Below are 24,212 nucleotides of genomic sequence, written 5' to 3' on the forward strand. Positions count from 1 at the left end.
CAGGTAATTTCCCCCAACCCTGCTTAATATGCAGGTAAGGCTGACTCTGTAAGATATGTGTCAATTCCCCCTTCCTTCTGCAGAACAAGCACTTTTGATTTTCCCAGAAAGGGCATTTCCCAAGCTGTGGATTTCTTCTCCCTCTAAAGTAAAGTATCCTTTCTTTCCTCTGTGGACCTCACAGTCTTTTGTTCATAGATCATAGATGAGACTTTAGCCCACACATCAGTGGATAGGAGATGTTTTAAGATGGCATAAGGTATACAAGAAACAAACTGCCAAACTACCTAGGGATGAGCCCAGCTATTTGGTTTGGTTTTGTGTGATGAGCAAGGAGAAAGGGTAAAGTGGTTGCTACAGACACTGGTTATCTGATCATGTGGCCATGAAACAAGAGCAGCTATGGCAGGTGGATAATGAACACCTTAGACCCTGGGGAGTCAAGAGTAGAAGGAGAAAAAATTAAACTCTCAGCTCTCATCTGTGGGACATTTGGGCTGGCCCTATCAACTCACAATGCTTTGGTGATCATCTTGTTCCAGGCTATCACAACTGCTCTTAACCTAAGTACTGGGTGCCCCTCTTAAGGAAACTTTTCTTAAGAAAACCTTAACCTGAGACCTTTCTCTCTTTTTTTTAAAGGATCTTATTTTTTATTTCTATAGATTTAGGGGGTACAAGTGCAGTTTTGGTCACGTCTGGGCTTTTAGTGTACCCATCACCCAAATAGAGTACTTGTACCCAAAAGGTGTTTTCTTGTCCCTTACGCTCCTCCCACCCTCCCACCTTTCTAAGTCTCCAGTGCCTACTGTTCCACTCTCCATGTCCCTCTGTACATGATTTGTTGATGTTACAGGTAGGCAGCCACTACCCAAGATAAAGTTCTGCACACTAATATAGTTTCCTTTAGCCACATCTTGTTATATATGGATGTCTCCATTACTGTCAAGGAAAAGAAAGACTCTTATGTATTTTGCTCAAGCCTATAGCCACCCCTCTGAATTATATGGCTTGCTGGACCTGTCAACTCAGTAATCCTCCTGGCAAAAACCAGTAGCTATTACTATGAACACTTCAGAAATAGATTTCCTCCCACAGGAAATAATAACTTGCTCCCACTACAAAATGATGCTGAGGAAAAAGAATCAGACATAAATAAATGGAGGTGTATACCTCAAATATATCTAAAGATTCGATGCAATATCTTTCAGGAGATGAGTCTACTTTATTTTTGGTACCAATTGAAAAAAAGTCAGAAATTTACAATAAAATTCAAAGGGCCCAAAATACCCAAGATAACTATGAACCAGAAAAACAGTGTGAGGAATATACAATACAATATCTCAGAAGTTAATAAGAAATGTGTATTTATCCTGTGTCCAAGTGTTCTCATTGTTCAATTCCCACCTATGAGTGAGAACATGCGGTGTTTGGTTTTCTGTCCTTGCGATAGTTTGCTTAGAATAATGGTGAACATCACACACCAGGGCCTGTTGTGGGGTTGGCGGAGAGGGGAGGGATAGCATTAGGAGATATACCTAATGTAAATGACGAGTTAATGGATGCAGCACACCAACATGGCACATGTATACATATGTAACAAACCTGCACGTTGTGCACATGTACCCTAGAACTTAAAGTATAATAAAAAAAAGAAATGTGTATTTATTAAGATAGTGTACTATTGGTACAAGAGGAGCAAAAGCAGAAACATGCACAAATGTTCACTTGATTGATGATCAAGGTTATGATTCAGTGTAATAAAGAAAGGACAGTCTTCAAATAAATTGTGAATGTTTAATTTTATATCTTTATGTGTATATGTGTGTGTATACACACACACACATAAACTACAAACTGATTGCAGATCTAAATGAAAATGATAAAAAGTATGCCAAATATCTTGAGAAAAACAGAGCAACACACATTAAGTCCTATGTGTTATCTGTAAGTATTTGCTGCATGGCAAATACTTAGAGGCTTAAAACGATGGGTCATTTATTATTTTATGTTTTCTTTGGGTCAGGAATGAAGGTGTGGCTTAGATGGCCAATTATGGCTTAAGATCTCCCACACAGTATTGTTAAGATGAAGCTCTCCTGGTTCTGAGTGCTGTTTAATTCATGAATCATACTGCACTTCAATAAACAGCTATATTTCTCTAAAGTTTTTCTTTTCACAAATGGAAGATATCTTTAAAAAAAGAACCAAATGGAAATTTCAAAGATGTCAAATATTGCAATGAAAAATTCACTGGATCTCTTAATAAAAGGAAATATTAGTGGTCTTGAAATACAATAGTCAAATATATCCATATGAAAGCATGGAGTGAAAACTGAAGGAAAAAAAAAGAGCTTCCATGAAAGAAAGCAAAACTTTTACCACTCAAACAAAAACATATTATGAAGCTGAAATAATGCAGTTTTCAATGGAAACACGTTAATGTTTCAAGTAGTGAAATTGTTTACATAAAAATTATATTGAAGAAAATGTAAGAATATGAAAGACATTTAACATATATTAATCAGCATAAGAATATATAAATAAATAGAAAGGAAAAGGGTGGGGCATGGTGACTCACGTTTGTAATCCCAGCACCTTGAGAGGCTGAGGCAGGTGGATAACCTGAGGTCCGAAGTTTGAGACTAGCCTGGCCAACATGGTGAAATCCTGTCTCTATTAAAAATACAAAAATTAGCTGGGTGTGGTGGCAGGTACCTGTAATCCCAGCTACTCCAGAGGCTGAGGTAGGAGAATCGCTTGAACCCGGGAGAAGGAGGTTGTAGTGAGCTGAGATCACGCCACTGCACTCAAGCCTGGGTGACAAGAGTGAAACTCCAACTCCAAAAAAAAAAAAAAAGGAAAAAATACTTAATAGATGAAAATACAAATCAAATAAACCTTTCAAAGGAAAGAACAGCCATTTCACAGCAAAGAAAACTTATAGGGTTAGTCAAACTATGAAGATACAATCAATTTTACTAGCAATTAAGGCAAGTCTAATTGAAACCACAAAGAGATAATATTTTATACAAATACACTGGCAAAAATGACGGAGTCTGGCAATACCATGTGCTAAATCGGGTATAAAATAAACAACCTGTTATACAGTAAACAGTCATTGGATGTGTTAATTAGCACATTTATTTTTGAAATAAATTTCCCATTGCTAAGGCATGATCCACCCACTTGATAACCCAGAAATTCTACATCTAAGTATGTAGCCAGAAGACTCTTATGTACATCAAGAGTTAAGTACAAGACATAATAAAACTCTTCAGAATGGGAGGGGGGAAAAACCTACAAACACTCCAACTGCTCATAAATAGAAAAAAATCAGTAATTGTATATTTCCATACATAATGGATTATTACACAAAAAGTGAATAAATGAGCTACGTCACACAAAATTACATGGATATTTTTAGTAACGTAGGGGATGAAGAAAACAGTCCCAGAAGATTGTGCGATATTTTTTAAATGGTCTAAAATTCAAAGCTGATAAAAACTATGGTCAAATTATAAAATGATACTGTTAAATTAAAAATATGGATAGAATTTGCTTTTTGGACAGAGAAAAGGGTGAAAAATTAGGAATAATTGGGCCATGGATGTATCATTATTGCATCATGTATATTATCATAAATGACAATGAACCAAAGACTATAATTAGTCTAATTCTTTGGAAGCAAGTTAACATAAATGAAGTTGCTACAGATGCAAGGACTAAAATTAGGAGGTAAGAAAATAAATGAAAACACACATTTAATAACTTAGCCAACCAATGTAGCCACTTTGGTGGAATTTAAGGGATGATTAGATGATAATGATATTATTGATGCTACTGATGTGTATGGTACTAAAAGTGATATTGCTACTAATGTTTCTAAAATGATAAAAATCTGTTTTTTAAATTGATGTCACACTTACCCAGGGTTTAGACTCTAAACGTTTCAAATTTAGGATGAGTCAGTTATTGCATGCCCCATATCTCCCTATCTTATATTTGACAAAATAGTAAATATATTTTTTCAAATTTCCCCCTTATACATATCATATCTATATCTATAGATGCCATAAAAAAAAAACACAAAACATAATGAAAGAACAAATCTCTGGATAACCTGTAAGCTTTGCCACTAACCTCTTTATAGCCACAATCACACTGCTCTGTAGGTTCCAAAATTCCATTGCCACAAGTTGAAGATTTTCGGTAAGTCATTTTTGAAACTGTTTTATCCTGAAAACATTTAAGTTCAGGCTGCAGAACTATCCGTTTAAATCCATCCATGCTGCAACTGCTAAAAAACTTCATACCATGGGATCATCTAAAATTAAATTGTACTTCTTAGATAAATGGACTAAAAGAATCAAAGTAATACTCCTCAACAAAATGCTATGAATTCTGAACTACTTCACTTAGAGAAGAGCCAAAAGGAGAAGAGAATGCTTTTATTTTTAATACAGGTGATAAGCAAAAAATGAATTATTTGCTATTGTAATTTGATATGATAGACACTGAGAGAGTAAAGAAAGTTAAAATGGTAACACACTCAATAATATTTGGTACACAATAAGCTCCATTTGAGTATATCCTATTATTGTCAACATTAAGAAATAAAATTTGGTTGATTGTGTTAATGAAAAATCATAATTACTTGTTCTTTGTTAAAATTAATCAAAAAAGTTATCCCAATACTGAGGTATATAAATTGTACAAATTCTAGATTCCTTTTATTTTGTTTTATTTTTTGTATTTCTATACATTTAAGTATACTACTTAATGTGTAATTTTGGGTAATTTTGTAATAATCTCAAACTTAAATAATGCAAATATGGCCCAAAAAAATAAATTTTGTTTTCTGAAACAGTTAAGAGGCCGGCAATGTGTTCTGTGAACACTACATACATCTATGTAGTTCTTACATAGAAATGGGTTATTCTACATCAGCACCCTAGACCCTTCAAAATCATAAAATAATGACTTATTATTAATATCTAATGCTCGGACTCCATTCGGATTTTCCCAAACATCACAATCCTAGCATTTTATAGCAAAATAATCCAGTTCAGAATCAAGCATTGCAAAATTCTCATGTCTCCTTAGTTCTCATGTCTCCTTAGTTTAGTTGCTTTTCAAACTTCTTACTACCTAAGTACTATTTCACTTCATGACACTGAACAGTTTTTCAACCAATGCAACTAGACTGCTGTAAGGTAATCATTAGCATCCACTTTTCCTCTAAATAATATCACTGAATGTAGAACTATTAAGCACATTTCCTACAACATTCTATACTTTCTTTAATGTCTTAAGCACATTTGTATCTAAAACAATTTCTTAAATTATATTGCAAGAGGTTCTACATCAAGGAATACTAGAAATATTTCTTAAGAGAAAACATAGAGCTGATAAAAACAACTCCTTACATCGCATCAGGATTCATTATGCATGTAGTTCCTGGACAGTAACAATTGTAGATATCATCATATGTCAATCCCAGATTAATTCCAAGCAACTGTGCCATAACAACTGAAAAGGCCTCTGCAGTGATTTTCTTTGGATACTAAATAGAAACAAACAAACAAAAACCCAGATTTATTGCCTAAGATATTTTTTCACTCCTTTGATCTTGTCAAACGTTTCTAGCCATACTATATAAATACAAATGCAAATTTTAAAAACTGCTATTTATTTACTTAGAAATAAATTATTTCTAACTACTTAGAAATAAAAATAGGTACAATTTTTTATTCCTTTTGAGTGACAATATTTTTAATCAAAATGACATTGACCTAAAATAAGAATAATTCAATCATATATTTTTATGACATACTATTGAATTTAATTCCAGCAAATTTCAGAAAACGTTCTGAGAAGTAGGAGGATTATTTTAGTAACTACAATATTTCTCAAGAGAACACTTGGAAAAGATACACAGATTTTGGAGAGTTGAACAGGCAATCAGTTTTGACCTCAGAAATAATTTGAGAAGAGTCAATTTTTTAAAGTAGAATAATATAACATCTTACAAGTAGCATTTCTACAAACTTCCAGAAACTTTGTCATTATCTCTATATTTTTCCTATTTCTGAAAATCATATAGTGAAAATATTACCACATATAGTCTTCTAATAAGGGTTTCTCTCACCACAAATTTAAGGGTTTTCCACATCTTATTGTGGCTTAATAGCTTATTATTTAAATCACTGGGTAGTATTCCATTGTATGGATGTTCTAAAGTTTGCTCATCCATTCACCTGTTAAAGGCTATCTAAGTTACTTCCAATCTGTGGCAATTATGAATAAAGCTAAAAACACTTATGTGAAATTTTTTGGTGGATAAAAGTTTTTAACTCATTTAGGTAAATAAATGGATGGTTTACCATAAGGAGGATGATTGCTGGACCATATGGCAAGGGTAAGTTGAGTATTGTAAGAAACTGTAAAACTGTTATCCACAGTGGCTATATCATTCGCATTTCTGTCAACAATAAATGAGAGTTCCTGTTGGTCTCACAGAATTTGGTGCTTTCCATGTATGATGTTGACCGTGACTGGTAAGCTACTTTCTTGTGTTTTTCCTGATCTAAGTAGTAATGTGTTATTTACTCAAAATATGTTGTTTCCTGTTTTTTTTTTTTGTAGATGCTCTCTTTAAGTTAAATAAGTTCCCCTGTATTTTTAGTTTGCTGAGAGTGTTTATTATAAATAGTCTAGGATTTGGTTTTTCTGAATCTACTACTAGAATCATATAATTTTTCTTTTTTAGCCTATTAATATAATGGAGGACATTATTTTATATTCATGATAAACCAGCCATGCATATCTGGGATAAATTACATATATATGTACATTATTATTATATATATGTATGTTACATATATATATATACACACACACACAAGGAGATAGAAACTAAAAAATAATTTAAAAAATCTGTAACTGGATTGGGGGGGATGGAGCAAGATGGCGGAATAGAAAGTGCCACTGATCATCTCTCCTCCTGCCCCTGACTCCCACCAACGACACCAATTTGAGAACTATTGACACAAAAAAAGTGCCTTTATAAGAACAAAAAAATCAGGTGAACACATTACAGTACCTGGTTTGTTTATTTATTTACGTTTTTGAGACAGAGTCTCACTTTTGTCACTCAGGGCTGGAGTGCAATGGCACGATCTTGGCTCACCGCAACCTCTGCCTTCTGGATTTAAGCGATTCTCCTGCCTCAGCCTCCTGAGTAGCTGGGATTACAGGCATGCACCACTACGCTGGCTAACTTTTTTGTAATTTTAGTAGAAATGAGGTTTCATCATGTTGGCCAGGCTGGTCTTGAACTCCTGACCTCAGGTGATCCACCCACCTCGGCCTCCCAAAGTGCTGGGATTACAGACGTGAGCCACCATGCCCAGCTCTGGTTTTAATTTCACATAGCTGAAAGAGGTACTGAAGTAGAAAAACCACTGACACCAACCCTCGTCAATCCTGTGGCAACAGTGGCATGGTGCAGAGAGCATTTCTTTGTGCTGGGGAGAGGAGAACGCAGCAATTGTGAGGCATTGAACTCAGTGCTGCACTTTTATAGCAGAAAACAAAACTGGGCCAAACTCAGCTGATGCCCACCTACGGAGGGAGTATTCAAACCAGCCCTAGCCAGAGAGGAATCGCTGATCTCAGTGGTTGGAACTTGAGTTCCTACCAGCCTCACCACCATGGGCTAAAGTGCTCTAGGGCCCTAAATAAAACTTGAAAGGCAGTCTAGGCCACAAGAACTGCAATTCTAGGTGAATCCTAGTGCTGAACTGGGCCCAGAGCCAGTAGACTGGGGGCACATGGCCTATTGAGATACCAGCTGGTGTGACTAAGGGAGTGCTGGCATCACCTCATCCCTAACCCCAGGCTGCAGAGCTCATAGCTCCAAAAGAGACCCCTTCCCTCTGCTTGAGAAGGGGAAAGGAAAGACTGGGGAAGGCTTTGTTTTGCATGTTGGATGCCCGCTCAGCCACAGCAGGATAGGGCACCAGTCAGAGTCCTGAGGCCCCCTTTTTAGGCCTTAGCTCCTGGATATCATTTCCAGAAGGAACCCACTGCCTTGAAGGGATGGACTCAGTCCTGAAAAACGTCATCACCTGCTAACTGAAGAGGCCTTGAGACCTGAATAACCAACAGTGATACCCAGGGAGTGTGCCATGGGCCTTGAGTGAGCATGTGAGATTTGCTAGCTTTGGGTGAGACTTCATACACTCTCAGCTGTGGTGGCAACAGGGCAAGGCTCCTTCGCTTGAGAAAAGTGGAGGGAAAAGTAAAGGGGACTTTGTCTTGCACGTTAGGTAGCATCTCAGCCACAGGGCAGCAGAGCACCAAGCAGGCTCTCTGGGTCCCTGATTCCAGGACTTGGCTCTTGGGAAGCATTTCTGGACCTGACCTAGGCTAGAGGAGAGTCCAATGCCCTGAAGGGTGAGTCCCAGGTCAGGCAGCATTCACCACCAGCTGACTGAAGAGCCCTTGGGCATTAAGGGAACATTAGCAGTAGTCTGGCAGTGCTCTCCACGGGCCTGTGTTGGTGATGGCAATGAGGTGAGGCTCCTCACCCAGTTTGTCCAAACATGACAAATAATATGCTCCTGAATAACCAGTGAGTCAATGAAGAAATTAAAATGGATATTGAAAAATTTCTTTAAACAAATAATAATGGAAAAATGACATACCAAAACCTGTGGGATATAGCAAAAGCTGTACGAAGAGGGAAATGTATAACTATAAGTATGCACACCAAAAAAGAAGTAAAACTTCAAGTAAACAACCTAATATGTGTCTTAACGAACCAGAAAAGCAAGAGCAAACCAAACCCATAATTAGTAGAAGAAAAGAAATACTAAAGATTAGAGCAGAAACAAATGAAATTGAAATGAAGAAAATAATACAAAAGATCAAAGAAACAAAACGTTGGTCTTTTGAAAAGTTAAACTAAATTGACAGACCTTTAGCCAGACTAAGAAAAAAAAAAAGAGAGATCCAAATAAATAAAATCAGAGATGAAAAAGGAGACATTACCACTGATACTACAGAAATTCAAATGATCATTGGTGGCTACTGTGAGCAACTATATGCCAATAAAATGAAAATCTAGAAGAAAGGGACAAATTCCTAGAAACATACAACCTACCAAGATTGAACCATGAAGAAATCCAAATCCTGAACAGACCAGTAGCAAGTAACAGGTCGAAGCTATAATTAAAATGTCTTCCTGGAGCGAAAAGGCCAGGACTTGATCGCTGCACTGCTGAATTCTACCAAATATTTAAGAAGAACTAATACCAATCTTAAACAATTCTGAAAAACAGAGTAGAAAGGAATATTACCAAACTCATTCTATGAGGCTAGTACTACCTTGATACCAAAACCAAACAAAGACACATCAAAAAAAGAAAACTACAGGCCAATATCTCTGATGAATATTGACACAAAATTTCTCAACAAAATACTAGCAAACCAGATTCAACAGTACATTAAAAAGATCATTCTTCATGGCCAAGTGTGGTTTATCCCTGGGATGCAAGGATGGTTCAACACATGCAAATCAATCAATGTGATACATCATATCAATGGAAATCAAGGACAAAAACCATGTGATTATTTCAATTGATGTTGAAAAAGCCTTTGATCAACTTCAACATCTCTTTGTGCTAAAAATACTCAAAAGCTGGTATAGAAGATGCAGGTCTCAAAATGATAAAAGCCATATATGACAGACGCACAGTTAGTATCATACTCACTGAGGAAAAACTGAAAGCCTTTCCTCTATGATCTGGAATATGAAAAGGACACCCAGTTTCTCCACAGTTACTCAACATAGTACTGGAAGTCCTAGCTAGAGCAATCAGACAAGAAATAAAGGGCATCCAAATTGAAAAATGAAAAGTCAAATTATCCATGTTTGAAGATGATATAATCTTATATTTGAAAAAACCTAAAGATTCCATGAAAAAACTATTAGAATTGATAAACAAATTCAGTAAATTTGTAGGATACAAAATCTACAAACAAAAATCAGTAGCATTTCTATGTACCAACAGAAAATCTGGAAAAGAAAATTTTAAATGTAATAGCATTTCCAATAGCCACCAATAAAATTAAATACCTAGAAATTAACCAAAAAAGTGAAAGATCTCAGTAATGGAAACTATAAAGTATAAAACATTGATGTAAGAAATTGAAGAGGAAACAAAAAAATGAAAAAGTATTCCATGTTTATGGATTGGAAGAATCAATATTGCTAAAATGCCCATACTGCCCAAAACAATCTACAAACTCAATGCAAACCCGATCAAAATCCAATGACATGATTCACAGAAATAGAAAAAAAAAATCTGACAATATATATGGAACCACAAAAGTCCCAGAAGAGCCAAAGGCAAAATAACAAAATTGGGGGAATTACATTACCTGACTACAAATTATGCTACATAGCTACAGTAACCAAAATAGCATGGTACTGGCATAAAAGCAGATATTTAGACCAATGGAACAGAATAGAGAACCCAGAAACAAATCCACACAGCTACAGTAAACTCATTTTTGACAAAGTTTCCAAGAACATACACTGTGGAGAAGACAGTCTCTTCAGTAAATGGTGCTGGGAAAACTGGATATCCATAGGCAGAAAAATCAAACTGGACTCCTATCTCTCACCATATACAAAATTCAAATAAAAATGAATTAAAGTCTTAAATCTAAAACCTCAAACTATTTAACTACTAAAAAAGTTAGAGAAATTAGAGAAATACATAAAAGGATGAGTCCGTCCATGGATTAAACTATTAACGGGCTATCATAAGAATGAGACTGGTGGCTTTATAAGAAGAGGAAGAGTGACCTGAGCTGGCATGCTCAGCTCCCTTGCCATGTGATGCCCTGTGTCACCTTGCAGCATCCTCATCAGCCACAAGCGCTCACCAGATGTGGCCCCTTTACCTTAGACTTTGCAACCTCCACAACTGTAAGGAATAAATTTCTGTAAAATTACACAGTTTAAGGTATTCTGTAATAGGCAACAGAAAATCGATTAAGACAGTATTTATCCAAAAGTAATAAAATCAGAATATCAAGGAGATGTATGCACTTCCATGTTCATTGCAGCACTATATACAGTAGCCAAGATATGGAAATAACCTAGACATCCTTTGTCAGGTGACAGGGTAAAGAAAATGTGGTATATACTTACAATTAAGTACATTTCAGCCATCAAAACAATGGAAATTCTGTCACATGCTACAACATAGATTAACATTGAAGAGATTATGTTCAGTGAAATTAACCAATCACAGAAAGAAAATACTGTATGACTACACTTATATGAGGAATCTGAAGTTGTCGAATTGATGGAAACAGAAAGTTAAATGGTGGTTTCCAGGTGGTTAATGGGTATAGAGTTTCAGTTTTTTAAGAAAAAATGTTCCAGAGATTTGTTTCACAACAATGGGAATATACTTAACACTACTAAAGTGTACACTTGAAAATGGCTAGAGTTATACATTTTATGTTACCTGTTTTCACTCCCAGTAAGAAACCTCTTGTAAAATTACATTTGATTTCCAAAATCTAAAAATACAATTTTCAAAGATTTATCAAAACAGTGTGAGAGATTACCAGAGCAATTCCTGTTGCAAACTTTGGATCGCATGCCATTCCGTGATATGTTGCTCCCACATAAGTAGAATGGTTCCTATAACTGAATAATGAAATTTTTCTTGTGGATATGTGTATTTAAAAATAGCAATAACTTACTCATATTTTATGAGTTGGATTTCTATATAAAGGTATGCTTTCTCCAAAACACAGAAATTACATATAATGTCTTATGCTTTCAGTCATTAAGATTTGGGTATCCCCTATAGTTCATATAAAGTTAAGTCCTAAAAGTTGTTTAACATTATCTAATACACAGCTCAAAACCTAGCAGTGCATGATTCTTTCAAAAAATTAATCATCACTGGAAGGATATAATTAATTCCATGATATAAAAGTCAAAAGTGTTTATTGCTGTAATTTGTATGTAGTAAACCAACCCCAAAAGTGTGAAGAAAGGTAGGACTGAAAGAGATAGAGAAAGATAAAATATGCATCAGATTTACGAAGAGAAAGAGAGGTAGGGTGTAGAAACCATCCTTACATATTTATATCTTAATATTGCTCTGTAATCCTAGACACTCTTTATTCCAATACATTGATAAATATGTTCCACATATTGCTTAAGGTCTTTAAAATTGTGTTTTTGATTTTTGCACATGAAATAATCAAGTTGGTAAAATAAAAGTATATAAAGACTTTTGAAAGATACAAAACAAGTAGGTAAATAGCTACATCTTAGGTCAGTACAGAAATACCAGAAGGAAACCACATGGAGAATAAAGTGGTCTATTTTAGTTATTTATTAATATTTCATACTGTAACAAGCATTTTATGCAATTATTGCATTCAATAAATTAACTTATATTTATGTAATGTTAAAGTGATGGTTTCAATTATTTACTAGTGAGAAGGTCTTTACAAACAGAGAGGTATCATGTTTTTATCACAAGACTTTCCATTTTTCAGCTCGTTACATTTCTATAAGTAAACAGTCTACTATGGGCTACCATGATTTAATTAGTGTCTTACATGGTTATTAGAATCTTAATATTTTGCAGTTTGCCAACACAGTCTTCAGATAGCTTTTTAATAATTATTGTTATATAAAATTTATATATAATTATGATAGCTAAGATAATTTGATAAAACCTTTCTAAATATGAATAAAGTACTTACATTAATAAGTATGTCATATCATGAGACCTTTGAAACAAAAATTTTTGTTTCCAAGGCAAAAATCGCTGTAGTATTTCATCAGCATGACCACTTGTTGAAATCTTATTTTGATCTGACCAGATCTCCAAGGAAGACAGCATAACTGTCATATTAAGCTGGGAAAACATCTGAGAACAGAAATTACGTGTTTTACAATTTTGGGTAACCATAAATATGACACTACTTCTCAATATCTAATGATAATATATTTAATTTACTATTTTTGAAGATAAAGTCGTTGGTGGATAAAATTAGTGGTTGGGCTACATTTACATTTTTACTTTTTGTTAAAATGTAAATGCTATATATATGTACATAAGCACAAATAATTTTACGTCATTAATTGCTATATTGCTTACTAAAATATAAAATATAAATACTCACAGTGTTGATAAGACCAAAGATTTGGAAAACTTTCTCAACTGCAACTGCCACCGTGGAGCCCATATAAGCATACTGAAAGACAAATTTTGTTTCTTAATCGCTAGTAAAAACAACTAACTACCACATTTTAAGTGGATTTAAATATAAATGTAAAAATAATTCAGTGGTCAATTGAAGAGGCACTAAATAGAATTAAGATATATCACAGTTTACCAAGTTTTACACATCGGCCTAGTATTTTATAAATTAATCAATGATATTAAAATGAGGTAATTGTGATTATCTTCCTCTTTACAGATAAAGAAATTCAAAGTCAAAGTGTTAAGGTATGAAGAGTGAATAACCTACTGGTTAGCCCGGTGTGGTGGCAGGTGCCTGTAATCCAAGTAGCTAGCTTTAAAAAAAAATTAATTAATTAATTAATTTAAAATTTTAATTTGCATATAGTTGTTTTTTATTGTCTTTGTCATTTAGTTACTGTTTAATCTGTTGATATTTTGTGATTATATATCAATTGTTTATCAAAATATCAATTTTGTGACTATATATCAATTACATATCAGTATATCAGTTTTGTGTTTATATATCAATAATCACAAGATGTCAACAGACCAAACACTAGATGGCAAAGACAATGAAAAAAACAACTATATGCAAATTAAAAATGTAAAGGACCCATAAAATATAAGTACATAGAAATATTAATAATCAAAGGATGAAAACACATCATCTAGCATCAGGAAAATACTAGAAAAGAAAAAATATGTTATGTGATAATTATATTAACTAACATAATACATTGATAAGAATAAAACTTAAAGGCAAAAAATGGACATGCTTATCACAACATATTAATAAAATAATTCATCAGAGAGATGGAGACTTTTAAATTTGCTTATAACTAAAAACATGGCTGCAAAATATATAAAACAAGATTTAACACAATTAAAAATAGAAATTGACTATCATACTGAGATATTTTAAATAGGTCTCTTAATAACACATAAATTAAGAAGACAAATTAATAGGAAAGATACTCAAGACTTTAAAAACCCAAAGCAATGTTGGATAAAATATACATACATAGAAGCTTATATACAACAATGAGAATATGTATTTTTTTTCAAATACAAATGAAAGTTTTATGCACATTGATTCATATTAACCAATATTAGGCCATAGAACACAGCTTTGAATAAGAAACAGAGTGTCACTTAAATCACATTATCTGAACACAATGCAACTAAGTTACAGTGGACTTGATAAAAATATTTTAACAATGTTATTTTTAGTGAAATGGATACCTCTGTTGTGGTTATATGAGATAATAGTCTTATTCTAGGTAAATACACACTAAAGAATGTAAGAGAAAAGCTTCATGATGAGCTTCACAACTTACTTTCAAATTTAAATGAAGAGTGCACAAGTGATAATGGGATACAATATTAATAAATGTGAGAAAAGAGAATAAGGGCCCTCTTTGTATTATTTTATTCTTGTAACTTTTCTAAAAGTTTCAAATTATTTCCAAAAGAAATGTTTAAAAAGTGCAGATGAAATAAAGACAATTTCAGATGAAAAGAAACTGAAGAGAATCCAGCAGGCTAAAGAGAAATATCATACATTAAGTAACCTACTACAAGGTATGAAAAGCTCTGCAAGTGAAAAATGTATGTGTGTGTGTGTGTGTGTGTGTGTGTGTGTGTGTATATATATATATTCATATATATGAATATTTATGTATATTCATATATATGAAATACACATCTATGAATATATGAATATATATGAATATTTATGACCATATATGAATATATGAATATTTATGAACATATATACATATATTCATATATATGAATATTTATGAACATATATACATATATTCATATATATGAATATATGAACATATATTCATATATTCATATATATGAACATATATTCATATATGAATATATATGAATATTTATGAATATATATTCATATATATGAACATATATTCATATATGAATATATATGAATATTTATGAATATATATTCATATATATGAAACACTTCATTTCCTTAATTTCTTTTTAAAATAATTGAATATTGAATTTTTAAAAATCTATTTTTCAGTTTATAACACATGGAGAGGTAAAATCTTTAAAAACAGATTCATAATGACTTACCAGGGTTAAATGAAATTTTACTGCTCTGAGGCTCTTACATTATTAATGAAGTGGTATAACATTAATTCTAGATCATGATAAGTAAAGAATACTAATCAGAATCCCTAGGGAAACCGCTAAGGTTGGAGACTGGAAAGAGAGGCATAGCAAAAAAAAAAAAAAAAAAAAAAAATAGAGGGAAAAATAAAGGTTAAATATAACCCCTTGATCCAAGGGTAGGAAAGAAGAAACAAATAAGCAAATAATTGATGGTATGTAAGAACACTAATAGTAAAGTATTATTTAACCAACATCCATAGTTATCAATTCTTTTGAGAAAAAACTAAACATTCTATAATTCTTCCTATTTTTAAGATACAGAACTTCTACCGGAGATGGTAAGCAACTATAAAACATAAAGTAATCTTCTGAGGGATAATATTTAATAACAAAGATTTCCAACTGAGTAATAAAACAACTCACTTAAAAATAGAAATACATTGAAGAATTTCAATCAACAATTGGAGTAGATCTAAAAGTATCTGCAGCTAGATATGCTACAATAGATTAGAGTGTAGTGGAACCCTTCCATATGAAGTTATACATTATTGGGAAAATTGATATCGATTTAGAAATCAATATATAAATATTGATCCCCCATGTCACTGTAAAGGCAAGTGAAAACATTTCTTTATCTCCTGCTAGACTGAGACACACAGTCTAGAAATCAATATAAAAATATTGATCCCCCATGTCACTGTAAAGGCAAGTGAAATCATTTATCTCCTGCTAGACTGAGACACAATGCAGATATATTAAAATATATCTGCATTGAAAACGTTGTTTTTTATTCATATTCTCTCTGAATTTCAACAAAAGCAAAGATATAATAAACATACTGATATTGCATACCATGGCTTTATCCATAATGATTTGTATTTTCAGAGTTCTTTTCGATAGCATGGCACCTGAATTTATCTGTGAAATAGAGGACATGAATTAAATAACACATTTTCAAAATTTTTACATTGCAGTTGTCATGTGCAATACACATGCACACACACTCACAGGTGAGATATGGAATATCCATCCATTTAGCTACCCATCTATCTATATGCAGATGGATGATAGATATTCAGACACAGATACACGAATATAGATATAAGTAATAACACAAGAGGATGATGGGTACACCCTTAGCAGGTAGGATTCCAAATACAAATTTTACAAGAAAATCAGAAGCATTTTATTTTATGTTATTGATCATTAGAATTGGCAAAAAGTCACTGAAATGAAAAATCCCATATTTCCTTCCCCTTTTAACATTCCTATATACTCTGTAGCACACCACTACCTCACCAATTTTTTTTTTTTTTTTTTTTTTTTTTTTTTTGAGACAGAGTGTCGTTCTCTCGCCCAGTCTGGAGTGCAGTGGCGCGATTTCGGCTCACTGCAAGCTCCGCCTCCCGGGTTCAAGCCATTCTCCTGCCTCAGCCTCCTGAGTAGCTGGGACTACAGGGGCCCGCCACCACGCCCAGCTAATTTTTTGTATTTTTAGTAGAGAAGGGATTTCACCGTGTTAGCCAGGATGGTCTCGATCCCTCACCAATCTTCAAGGTAAACTAACATCCGTAAACATTTCCCCTAATGTTGCCTTCATTTTCTTATTATTTTTGTACTTTTACTTCTTTATGTTAACTTTATTGGGGTTTACATTCAATAAAATGTGTCCATTTTAAGTATAAACTTATTAGCGAGTAATGTATACACCATCACAATTTATAAATTGGTATTTAGAACAATTGGAAGAATTACATCAAAATATTAAGAGCACTATCTTTAAACAATGAGGTTTCACACAATTTATACAATTTCTAGTGTATTATCTTGCCCCCTTTTCACTTTTACATTTTCTATCAAAATAACACTTTTAAATAAAAAAACGCATGTGCAAAAAAACTTATAAAGCAATTTGATTAAATTGGTAATAATTTTATTAGTAAGATGCAAAATCAATATAAAAATAACTATATGTCTATAAAAATCCCTGCAATTAAGGAAACATGTTATGATGCTTTAGAATTATGTGTGTTTATAACGATTACATTTTCTAAATATCTGAATAAACAAATATATGTTTTAAACGTCCTACAACTGAACTTTTTAATATAAATATCAGTTTAAATTTATTCTCCAAATGTGTCAAATTTCAAAATTTCACTGTGAATAACTTTATCAACAGTAAGACCAATGAAGAACTCATAAATGAGAATACTCACGTCTGATTTGACAAGAATCCTGTAGGACTGATCTATATATTGAGCCACAGGATAATTTTCTTGAAAGGAGGAATGACCAATAGCATCATTTTTAATTCGATAAACTACATGCTTATATGTAGGTGAAGATTCCAATGGTTCAATACCATAACTGATATTATCTAACTGCAGTAATCCTCTGGATATTCAAATACAAAAAAGGAATAAAAATGTTACTGATAAATTTGAATACATTTTATGCTAGTGAGAGTTTTTTTCTGAATACATTTTATGCTTGCCCACCTGGGATAGAGAAAAAGAGAATAGAAAAATAGATCAACAAAACAGGTAAAAAAGAAAAGTATTTAAGAAAATAAAGTTTATATTCCTCTATATTTATTCTACCCTTCAAGAAGTTTCTGGAAATTAAAGGCTCACATAAAATCTCAATGTACATATCTGGAATACGCCATTACCTGAGTCCAGAACAGGTGCGTAGTGCCACAACTGATTTTGGAATGTCTGCAGCATATCCTTGGTAAAAGCAATGACCCTAAAAAGGAATATAGAAAGATATATTCATAAATGATTTGGAAACAAAGTCCTAGCTTTTATCTTTACTTCCTATATATTGTCAAGCATTCATATTTAACCATTATCATAATAGTATTTATCAGGTATTGAATCTCCATATCAATCTACAATCTCTTTCTCTAAGTTCTTTTCTGCTATGTTATTAGCTCGTAAACATTTTCATCAGTAACATACACTTTTTCTCAAAATGAGGCATAATCTCTATTCCCACTTGCTGACACTGGCAGGCCAAATCTACCCCTAGTAGCAGTTATCAGAGCCCAGGTGGACCAATCAATCCTACCCAAACACACATTTACAGCAATGTGCCTGTTACACTCACACCATCAAGACTAACAAACTCAGGCAGGGAAATCCATATCCTGCTCCATGTCAAGCAACAGCAGCAGTCACCTGCACTTGCAGTGGTGCCAGCAGGACCTGAATCTATAAGCCCCTCACAAAGAGGTAGAAGGCAATCCAGGTCCCAACCTCTCTCCAGCAGTAGAGAGTAATCCAGACTCAATAGCTTCTGGCTGTGCACCCAGCAGGAGAAAATGATCTTCATGAGTTACTTCCCATTTCTCCCTACTATAAGTAGAAAAAGATCATTCAGATAGGAGCTATCTTCAACCAGGGTCACTGGCAGAGATAGAATCAAGCACACTGAAATCTAGTAGCAGAGAAAAGACAGGAGAAATGTTCTCCATCCTATGGATCTTTCCTTACCCACCTCAACCGGAAACACTACCTGGCCCAGGGAAGTACGATTTACACCTCTAGCTTAAACGCTTAAGAGGCAGCAGAAGGTCCAATGCAGCCAGAACAATGAAACACAACACAATAATATTGTAAAGAAAAAAATGTTATTGGAACAGTGGACTCCAATAAAACAAAGCTCAAACTGAATGACTGTCTTCTAAAATAGAATATTAAAATAAGATCAAGAGTCTTGACTAAATGTCAAGGATATAATCAAAATAATTCATTATAACAAGGACCAGGAATATCCCAACAAGAATGAGAAAAGAAAATCAACTGATGACATGATAAGTCATAGGATATCAAAAAATATTTGAAAGAAGTAATAAAAATTGCATTAATGAATAATGACAAATTCTCTTGAAATAAATGAAATAACAGAAAATCTTAGGAAATAAATAGAAGCCAAAAAGGGAACAAATGAAAATATTATAACTGAAATATATAATAAACAAACAAGTGAAACACTGAATAAGCTCTATAGTCTGGAGTACAGATGACAGTGGATAGGATCACCAGGTTTAAGGAGAATGGATCACATATACCCAACCTGCAAAATAGAGGACAAGTGGCTGAAAAATATATGATGTTTCAAAAACTTGTAAAACAATAGCAGAAGACCTATAATTTATACTTTAAAAAGAAAAAAATGGGGTTTAAATAATATTTAAAATATTAGTACTGAAATTTTGGTCAGCCAGATTGTGAAACAGGAATCCCGGGACGCTTCTTCTCCCACAAGCATACCAATTCAGCAACATTATATGGAAAAATTACCTTTGTGAGTAATCAGAAACTAATATAGAGACATATACGCTGGGAGGATGCAAAACTAGACTCACTAAAGCTCGTAGAGAGACTTGGATCACTCTCTTGCCAGGAAACCCAAAGATATCTACACCTAGACCTATTTTAATCAAACATTAAAAGATCAAAAACAAAGAGAATTTTGTAAACTACAAAAGAATAGCAACTTGTCGCATACAAAGGAAACTCCATAGGACTATGAGCAGACTTTTTTTTTTTTTTTAAGGAGAAACCTTGCTGGCCACAAGAGAGTGGGATGAAATATTTTTTTAAAGTGCTGAAAGAAAAAAAAAAGCCAAAAAGAATGCTATACAAATCATTATGGATTTCTTATAAAATCTATAAGAAACTCACTTGAGACTTAAGCACACATATAGGATGAAGGTAAAGAGATGGAAAAATAAATTCCATGCAAATGGTAAGCAAAAGGGGCAGAGATTTGTATACTTATATCAAAGAAAATAGATTTTGACACATAAATCATCATAAGAGAAAAAATGACATTTTATAATAATAAAAGGGTCAATATCTGAAGAAGATAGATTACTTATAAATATGTGCACACTCAATATTAGAACATATAAATAAATAAATCTGAAGGAAGAAATAGACACCAATACTATAATAATAGGAGACTTTAATACCTTATTTTAAATAATGAATAGAACATCCAAAGAGAAGATTAATAAGAAAACAGAAGATTTGAATATTACTATAAACCAAATAGTTCTAACAAACATATAAAGGATTTCATTGAACAGCGGAAGAATATACTTTCTTCTAAAGTACACTTGGATCTTTTCCAGACAGATCACATATTAGGTTAAAAAACAAATCTAAAAATTTTAAAAAGATTGAAATCATAACAAGCGTCTTTTCTGAACGCAATAGAATGAAGCTAAAAATAAATAGTATAAGGCAAACTAAAATATTAACAAATATTGAAATTAACACACTATTGAATAACTATTGGCTGAAAGAATTGGCTGAAGAAATTAGAAACTATTGGCTGAAGAAATTAGAAAATACCTTGAAATAAGTGAAAGCATAAAAATAAAAGTAAACAAAAAATATTAAAACAAACGGATGCAGGAAAAGCAATACTACGAGAAAAGTTCGTAGCAATGTATGCCTACATTAAAAAAAAGGCATATCTCACATATGTTTACCTGAAGAAACTAGAAAAACAACGATAAAACTAAGTCCCAAATTAGCAGAGAAAATTTAAAAAACAAAGATTAGAACAGAAATAAACCAAATAAAAATAGAAAAACCAATATAGAAACAAAGAAGTTCATTTTTTGAAACAAAATTGACAAACTTAGCTATGCTAAGAAAATAGAAAGGATGCGAATAAATAAAATCAGAAATAAAACAGAGACATTACAACTAATGCCACAGAAACAGAAAAAGATCATGTAAGAGACTAGTATGAACAATTTTCTGTCAGCAAACTGGATAATCCAAAAGAAATTGATAAATTTCTAGAAACATACAAACAGCCAAGATTGAATCATAACGAAGTAGAAAATTTAAAAGGACTCACAACTAGAATGAATATTAGATCAGTAATCAAAACCTACCAACAAAGAAAAGAGCAGGATCAGAGAACTTTACTGTTGAACTCTATCAAATATTTAAAGAATAATTAATGCCAGAACAACCATTCTTAAACTCTTGCAAAAAACTGAAAGAGGAAACACTTCCAAACTTATTCTATGAGGCCAGACACCACAGCCACATAAATCATTACAGGAAAAGAAAACGACAAGCCAATATCACTGATGCACATAGATGGAAAAAAATCTCAAAAACATCTGAACTCAACAGCGTATTAAAAGTGTCCTACACTATGACAAGGTGGGATTTATCTCCGGAATATAACAGTGGTTCAACATAAGAAAATCAATTAATGTGGTACACCATATTATATAATAAATAATACAACTTACAGGATGAAATTAATAGATGCAGAAAAAGCAAATCTCAGCTTCCTTTATAGGACCTTATACATACATTATTATGAGCCTAATACAAAAATCAAACAAAGCCAGTACAAAACAAAACTTGCAGATCAGTATCTCTCATGAATACTGAGGAGAGAAACCTCAAGATAATAAGTCATGTGTAAAAGGAATTATAATTATACATGTCAGGACTTGGTTGTAATTTTTTAGGTATGCAAAACTATTTCAAGATTTAAAAATAAATCAATTCGATCCAACATGCCAAAAGGCCAAAAAAGAAAAGAAAAACTTGTAATCCTATCAACTGATGCAGAAAAAGCATTTTCTGTAACTAAATAGCCATTAATGAACAAAAAGAACAACATAAACTTTTAGCAGGCTAGAAATAGAGAATTTTCTCAACTTAATACAGAGACTATAAAAAAACCTAAAGCCAAAATTATTTTTTCACAATGAAAGACTGAATATGTTTTCCATGAAATTGGGAATAATCGAAGAATGCCCTCACTACGGTTATTCAACATGGTCCTGGACATTTTAGCAAATTACAGTGAGGCAAAGCAAAGAAATGAAAAGCAGACTTACATACTGGTTGAAAATGAAGAAGGAAAATTGTCTATATTTGTTAAAGACGTGTCTATGTAGGAAGTCTCAAGGCATCTATTAAAAAGCCCTTCTAGAACTAATATGTGAATTTAGCAAGATTGTAGAATAGTAGATGAAACCTGAAAAATGGATTGCATCACTAGAAAAGAACAATATACAGGTGGAAACTAAAATTAAAACACAATATCATTTACAATTGTTCCAATAAAATGAAATACTTAGGTATAAACCTAAAAAATGTATAGGATCTGAAAGCTGAAATAACAAAAACACTAGTGAAAGATATACGTAAAAGACCAAATAAATAGAGAGACTTACTGTGTTTGTGGATTGGAAAAGTTAACATAGTAAAGACATCAGTTCTCCCCAAATTGATCTACAGATTTAACACAATTTCTATCACAATCCTAGCAAGTTTTTTTTTTTTATTTGCACATGGAGTAGCTTTATCTAAATCTTACATGAAAAAGCAAAATATCTAGAACAGAATAGCTTAAAAAGTTTAAAAAAGAATAATAAAGTGGGAAAAACCACTGTAGTTAACAATCCAGAAATATATCCACACTAGATCCATGGATTTTTTTTTGACAAAGTAGTTAAAAGAGCGATTCAAAGCAGAAATATAGCCTTTTAAAAATATAGTGTTGTAACTAATATACATCTAGTCAAAAGACTGAACTTTGATCCAAATTCCACACCTTATACAAAATTACCTCAAAATAGATAAAGAATTAAATGTAAAGTATAAACTTAAAAAAAACCCAGAAAGTCTTCAGAAACTACTGCTATGTAGCGTCCGTAGGTTTGACATGAAAACAACCAATCACAACAAGAAATTGTTGATAAATTAGTCTTCATCAAAAATAAAACTTTTTGACCAGTGGCAGACCATTTGAAAAGTAAGACAAATCGGCCGGGCTTGGTGGCTTACGCCTGTAATCCCAGCACTTTGGGAGGCTGAGGTGGGTGGAACATGAGGTCAGGAGATCGAGACCATCCTGGCTAACACGGTGAAACCCCATCTCTACTAAAAATACAAAAAATTAGCTGGGCGTGGTGGCGGGCGCCTGTAGTCCCAAGCTACTCAGGAGGCTGAGGCAGGAGAATGGCGGAATGGCGTGAACCTGGGAGGTGGAGCTTGCAGTGAGCCGAGATCGCCCCGCTGCCCTCCAGCCTGGGCGACAGAGCAAGACTCCGTATCAAAAAAAAAAAAAAAAAGAAAAGTAAGACAAATCACAGACAGGGCCAAAATATTTGCAATGCACATGTTTGACAAAGGTCATATTCAAAATATAGAAAACTTAAAAATCAACAGTAATCAGCAACCTTAAACTCCAAACTCTCAGATTTCTGCTTGGTTCCACGTCTGGATGCTATGGTCCAGACTATCTACAGTAGGGGGCAAACTTAAACATGAAATTCACCTCCTGTGCTTACATTCTCTCAGGTACAAAATTCCTAATGGGCCTATTGTCACATATCTCAAAACGGGTGCCTCACGTATTTTTCTTTTTCTGACTTCTAATTGTAATTTGGTAGGGAGGGAAAATCCTTTACCAGTTACCATACCGTAGATTTCATCATCTCTCAGTTCCAATATAGCAATAGAGTGTGACCAGTCATTGCCTTTCACTTCCTCCCAGTCACGTGAATAAATGTCTTACAGAGTAATAAATACCTTACAGGGTGTAATAAATATCTTACAGGGTAAAGTGAATTTTCTCACATAATTTCAAACCTTTCTTGACTCTTTAATGTCTTTCAGCCTGTAATCCCAGCACTTTAGGAGGCTAAGGCAGGCAGATTACTTGAACCCAGGAGCTCGAGACCAGCCTAGGGAACATGGTGAAACCCCCACT

At 33.3% G+C, this 24,212-nt stretch overlaps 1 pseudogene across 4 annotated transcripts in view; it reads right to left on the reverse strand.

Annotated features, from left to right (window-relative positions):
* The window catches only part of ADAM3A (ADAM metallopeptidase domain 3A (pseudogene)), a 71,945-nt pseudogene that overhangs the window by 36,637 nt on the left and 11,096 nt on the right, over nucleotides 1-24,212 (reverse strand). For 3 of the 4 annotated variants that reach the window (NR_024106.2, NR_024107.2, NR_073423.1), the window contains exons 4-12: nucleotides 18,115-18,191; nucleotides 17,660-17,837; nucleotides 16,293-16,358; nucleotides 13,234-13,305; nucleotides 12,811-12,977; nucleotides 11,653-11,734; nucleotides 5,430-5,566; nucleotides 4,144-4,327; nucleotides 2,582-2,676 (exon numbers count right to left, since the gene is read on the reverse strand). The product of NR_024106.2 is annotated as an ADAM metallopeptidase domain 3A (pseudogene), transcript variant 3 (transcript). The remainder of the gene's footprint in view (nucleotides 1-2,581; nucleotides 2,677-4,143; nucleotides 4,328-5,429; nucleotides 5,567-11,652; nucleotides 11,735-12,810; nucleotides 12,978-13,233; nucleotides 13,306-16,292; nucleotides 16,359-17,659; nucleotides 17,838-18,114; nucleotides 18,192-24,212) is intronic. The other variant, NR_001569.3, reaches the window with a different exon arrangement.

Source organism: Homo sapiens, chromosome 8 (genome assembly GCF_000001405.40).
Source record: "Homo sapiens chromosome 8, GRCh38.p14 Primary Assembly".
NCBI lineage: Eukaryota > Metazoa > Chordata > Mammalia > Primates > Hominidae > Homo > Homo sapiens.